Source organism: Homo sapiens, chromosome 6, assembly GCF_000001405.40.
Source record: "Homo sapiens chromosome 6, GRCh38.p14 Primary Assembly".
Lineage (NCBI taxonomy): Eukaryota > Metazoa > Chordata > Mammalia > Primates > Hominidae > Homo > Homo sapiens.
In genome coordinates, this window is record NC_000006.12 from 123,158,067 (window position 1) to 123,164,447 (window position 6,381).

Sequence of the window (6,381 nt, forward strand, 5' to 3'; positions counted from 1 at the left end):
TAATTATACTATGTTTTCTGAGCTGCCTCTGTGCTGTACTGGTAAATACAGAAAATTAAACTGACTCTATTGCTACAGTGGAGACAGCCAAAGAGGAATTAGTACTTCCTTTGCTTTGTGGCCCTGGTAAGCACTTAGGAGGCAGACCAAAAAAAAAAAAAAAAAAAAAAAAAGAAGTCAGCACCAGACGGCTCTTAGCAGAAATGTTCTTAATCATTGAATTGTCCCAAGGAGAAAGCCAAGGAGAAATGCTTTTGAAGGAGGTTGTTACTGAAATTTCATAAATCCATCTGTTTTCTTGGCCTAGTGTGTATGACCCAGGCCCTATAACTTCAGTTATAGTGGCCAGAACCTATAAATCTATACTCTAGCTCAGCTCCCTGGATCTATCATAATACTGTTTAAGGCTGTTTCTTGCAAAACGCACACACACACACACAGGCACATTTCAAATTTTAACAATATTAATGCCTACGTGTACTCAGTATCAAAATTAAAAATATCATTCAAGAAGCACCCAAAATATGCAATAAGACCTAAAACTGTCTAATAGCATTTTGTGGTAACATGTTACATGTTTACATGACATTGTATAGTTAACCCACTGAGCCATGATAAAAAATATGCTGAGCAGATGGCTTTGATTCTTTATTTTTTTTTTGACAAGAGTCTCAATCTGCTGCCCAGGCTGGAGTGCAGTGGCGCAATCTCAGCTCACTGCAAGCTCAGCCTCCTGGGTTCACGCCATTCTCCTGCCTCAGCCTCCCAAGTAGCTGGGACTACAGGCGCCCGCCACCATGCCCCGCTAATTTTTTTTTTTTTGTATTTTTAGTAGAGACAGGGTTTCACCACGTTAGCCAGGATGGTCTCGATCTCCTGACCTCGTGATCCGCCCCCCTTGGCCTCCCAAAGTGCTGGGATTACAGGCTTGAGCCACCGTGCCCGGCCCAGATGGCTTTGATACTTCCCTGGTGTTTAGATGATGGTGATTCAGGTATACTATGATAATATCTCAGTAACATGAAAAACTACAACCTTTTGGTTGAAATAACCTTGGCTATAATAATAAAAATAAAGCTGAACAGCATTTTCTGACTTAATTCCCACATCAACCTCATTAGGTAATGTTTATGATTATCCACATGTCCAAATGAGGAAATTGGGAGTGAGTTTAAGTATCTTACTTTTAGTCACACAGCTGGTAAGTAGTGTAACCTACACAGCTTTTGAATTATGCCCTAACTACTACTAAATTGCCATATCAGTTAGCATGTTGATCACTTCAAATAGTAGGCAATTTACTACATGTATTTAATCCCATTATATTTTCTAAAATGTTAGATGTTGCTTTAAAAAGCAAAATCTGAACCCAATTTATATCCTGTCTCCAATGTATGTCCACTTGTCTGTAGCTACTGAGACTGAAGAGCAGCATCCAAGAGAGATACTTTGTGGAAATTCCTTTTCTTACATTTAGAATGAATGACTCAGCCATGATCCATTGAAGAAGACATTATTGAGCGCTTATTATGCGTACGGAAATATATGGTAAAAAGATGAACTAGTGTAAATCATTCCTGCGTAATCTTTCAGCCCAATAAGGGAGATAGCATGAATTTAAAACAATTTAGAAAATAGGTATAAAAGGGAAGTACAAATAAAACGTCATAGGATTTAGAAGAGGAAGATATTGCTCTTATGGGAAGAAATTTGAGACCGTTTGATAGGGAATGAGAAGGCATTGGTGTTCAAGCTAAATAATGGACAAGGTTTAGAGAAACAAAGATGGGAAACCCTTCTTTGCAATGGTAGCATAGGCAAAAAAGTAGAGGCTGGAAAGTGTGACTCTTCTGTGGGTATAACAATGTTGAAAATAGTCACCACTCAGTGAGTATCTATATGACATAGACTGTGGTGTGCACTTGGCATACCTTCCTTTCAAATCCATGGTAACCTTGTAAGATAGATATTACAGATGTGGAAATTGGAGTGCAGGGAGCTTTAAAGATTTCTCCGTGGGAGTAGCTTCTCAGTATTAGTTTGAATTCCAACCCAAATTTGATTGGGTTACCATATGACACAGGTTTTCACAAACTACAAAAAAGCAGTATCCCTTATTGTGGATAAATATTTGAAAGGGACTGATGAAACCAAAAAAAATTGAAAAGTTAAATTGGGTCCTGGAAAAAAATAGCGTGTTTTTATACGCCAAGGATTGTTGTGACTCTTTCTTCACTTAATACTCATAATAACTCTATGAAGTAAGTATTATTACGATTAACCCCTTTTCTAGAGGAGAAATCTGAGCTATACAGAAAGTAAGTTTCCTGGGGACTCAGAGCCAGAATTCAAACCCAGAAGTCTAGCATTCGAATTTGGGCTTTTAACCACTAGGATTGGCTGCCTCTCAGATGACTGAGGATAGAGAATTTTGAAAGGCTGAGTAAGGGATTTGGATTTCCTTATGAAATAACAAGGAGGCAGTGAAAATGTTTGATCAGAAAGGTGACAAAATCAGAGCTTACACTTGAGATAAATTATCTTGATGCAATGTATGCTTTGGATCAAAAAGGGGAGGGCCAAACAAGGGATAATTTTCCTATCTGGATGAAATATAATCAAGGAATGAATTACTTTATTTTTGGAGGGAAGCAAATACTTGGGCAAGAGATATTTTAAAAGGAAAATGGCAGATTTTGCCACTTATTAGAAGACGTGAGAACCAGGGAAGATCTAGGAGACATTTCTAATGAGAATAGAGGTTTGTGGCTTTCTAGAATGTTCATGAACCCTTCAAGGATTCCTTTGTATCTTTACTCTCTTTTCTTGATAGTCTTGCCCTGAGTTCCATCTAATGCTTGTCCACTAACCACACTGGTTACCCAGCAGCCTCTCATGTATGTTAATCACTTAACTTAAGAGTGGAGTAAATGTCCTGCTTATTTTTCCTTCCTCTCTCAAAATCTTTATATATTTTGATGTATAGGCCACTGGGAGACATTATCTGCTACTGCTCCTCAACCCACCTCCCTGACATTCACTCTTATTAATGGAAAATTTGGTCACCTGGGTCAGTCACTGTCTTTATATTCATTACTTCATAATTCTTGATGAATTTTTAAAATATGGAGAATATTTCATATCACATATATTATGTTACATGTATAATACATAAAATATTGCATAATCATGTGCATATGTGTAGGTGTGCATGTGTATGTATGTGTATGTATATACACATATCCTGGCATCCCATTTCAGCTTCCTTCTGTTATGTTTTTTACCAATAACTGCTGTGCTACATCCAAACTTGTATTTTGGTATCCCACCTTCAAACCTGTGCTGAGAATTGTCGCTACCTGTGACTCTAGTGCCCACTTCAGCAACTCCTCATTCCCATCAACCAAGAGAGTGCTGATGTCATCCCTCCTCTAACCTCAGGCTGCACAGCCTGAGACTCCAAAAGAGGCCCCATGGCAGTGTTGGTACCTAAGGTGCAAGGCAAAGACCCCTTTACTTTTCCCTCTGCTTTCCTCAAGCAGAAAATGTTTTGCCCCATAGACACCACAGCTGGTTATATACTGGGTCTCACTTGACGCCAGCAAGTCTCAGAGACTCACCAATACCCTTTGTTTAGTACCTGGGTATGGCTGCTGGTTATTCAGGGCCCAAGGGCTCTTCAGTTAGCAGGTGATTAATCCTGGCAGGACTGGGTCCTTTCCTTCAAGGCAGTGATTTTCCTTCTGGCCTAGGTTGTATCTAGAAGTGTATTCTGGAAGCCAGGGCCTGAAATGGGGGCCTCCTTACTCGGACCACTGCTGTGGCTAGCCGTAAATTAGTCTTCCTCAGTCTTCCCTCTTATGTCCTCAAGCAGAAAGAAGGGGTCTCTGCCATGGGGAGTAGAGTTCCAAGTGAGCTCTTGGGGTCCCAATTCTAAAACAGTCAAGTTTTAGAGTCAACTATGATGGCATTTCTGGACCTGCCCTGGGCCGAAGGGGAGCCCACTGCCCTGAAGGAAAAGTCACAGGCCAGGCACCATTCATGACAAGCTGACTTAAAAGACCTTGGGCCTTAAGGGAACATTGGCGGTAGTCTGGAAGTATTTCTTGTGGCACAGGATGGCAGTGGCTATGGAGTGAGGACCCTTGCCTTTGGAAAGGGAAAGGGGGACATCATGTTTGAGTGCCAACTCAGCCGCAATAAAATAGAATATCAGGTAAATTTCTAAGGTTTCTGACCATAGTCCCTGACTCCTGGATGGCACTTCTGGACCCACGTGGGTCTTAGGGGACCTTGCCGCCCTGAAGGAAAGGACATAGGCCTGGCTGGCTTTGCCACCTACTGATTGTAGAGGCCCAGGGCCTTGAATAAACATAGGCAGTATCCAGGGACTGGTTACGGCAGGTCTTGGGTGAGATGCAGTGTTGTGCTGGTTTCAGGTCTGACCCAATGCAGTCATAGTGGTGGTGGCCACAGGTGTGCTTGTCACTCCACCCTCAGCTTTAGGTGGCTCAGAAAAGAGAGAGAGACTGTATGCTTGGGAAAAAGTAAGAAAGAGAACAAGACCGTCTGCCTGAAAAAGCAGAGAATTCTCCTGGATTTTGCCTAAGACCATCAAGTTGGTACTTCTATGAGTCTGCAAGAACCAGAGTTACAGGGCTAAGGGTGTCCCTAAACAGAAACAGCTTAGATCACAACTCCCAAGTCTTTTCAAATATCCAGTAAGCCTTTCTAAGAAGGAGAGCTACAGATGAGCCCAGGCAGTGAAGACTACATTAAATAACCCTTCAATGACCAGACACTGAAGAACATCTACGAGCATCAACACCATTCATGAAAACATGACTGCACCAAATGAATTAAACAAGACACCAGGGACCAATCCTGGAGAAACAGAGATATGTGACCTTTCAGATAGAGAATTCAAAATAGCTGTGTTGAGGAAATTCAAAGAAATTCGAGATAACACAGAGCAGGAATTCAGAATTGTATCAGGTAAATTTAACAAATAGATTGAAATAATTAAAAAGAATCAGGAAGAAATTCTGGAGCTTAATAATGTAATTGGCATACAGAAGAATGCAGCAGAGTTTTTAATAGCAGAATGGATCAAGCAGAAGAAGGAATTAGTGAGCTTGAAGACACACTACTGGAAAATACACAGAAGAGACAAAAGAAAAAAGAATAGAATACAATATAGCATACCTACAGGGTCTAGAAAATAAACTAAAAGGGAACATCTAAGAATTATTGGCCTTAAAGAGGAGGTAGAGAAAGAGATAGGGGTAGAAAGTTTATTCAATGGGATGACAACGAGAACTTCCCAAATGTATAGAAAGATATCAATATCTAAGTATAAGGTTATAAAACACCAAGCAGATTTAACCTAAAGATTATCTCAAAGCATTCAATAATCAAACTCTGAAAGGTCACAAATAAAGAAATAATCCTAAAAGTAGCAAGAGAAAATAAAAAAAATCATACAATGGAGCTCCAATACATCTGCCAGCAGCCTTTCAATGGAAACCTTATGGGTCAGGAGAGAGTGGAATGACATATTTAAACTGCTGAAGGAAAATAACTTTTACCCTAAGATAGTATGTCTGGCAAAAATATCCTTCAAACATGAAGGAGAAATAAAGACTTTTCCAGACTGACAAAACCTGAGGGATTTCATCAATGCCAGACACGCCCTACAGGAAATGCTAAAGGGAGTACTCCAATAAGAAAGAAAAGGAAATTAATGAACAACAAATAGTTACCTGAAGGTACAAAACTCACTGGTAATAGTAAGTACACAAAAACACAGAATATTATAGCAATGTAACTGTGGTGTGTAAACTATTTTTATCCTAAGTAGAAAGACTAAACAATGAACCAATCAAAAATAATAACCAATCAAAAAATTTTCAAGACATACTTAATGCAATAACATATTACCAGAAACAGCAAAAAGTTAAAAAGTGGAGGAATGATGTCAAGGCATAGAGATTTTTATTAGTTTTCTTTTTGCTTGTTTGTTTGTTTATGCAAATAGTGTTAAGTTGTTATCAGGTTTACCTAGTTGGTTGTAAGATGGTATTTGCAAGCCTCATGGTAACCCCAAATGAAAAAACATACAATGGAAACACAAAAAATAAAAAGTAAGAAATGAAATTATATCACCAGAGAAAATCACTTTCAATAGAAAAAGACAGAAAGGAAAGGCAGAAGGAAGAGAAGACCACAAACAATGAGAAAATAAACAAATAACAAAATGCCAGGAGTAAGTCCTCCCTTATCAATAATAACATTGAATGTACATGGACTAAACTCTCCAATCAAAAGGCATAGACTGGCAGGATGAAAGAAAAAACAAGACCCATTGATCTGTTGCCTACA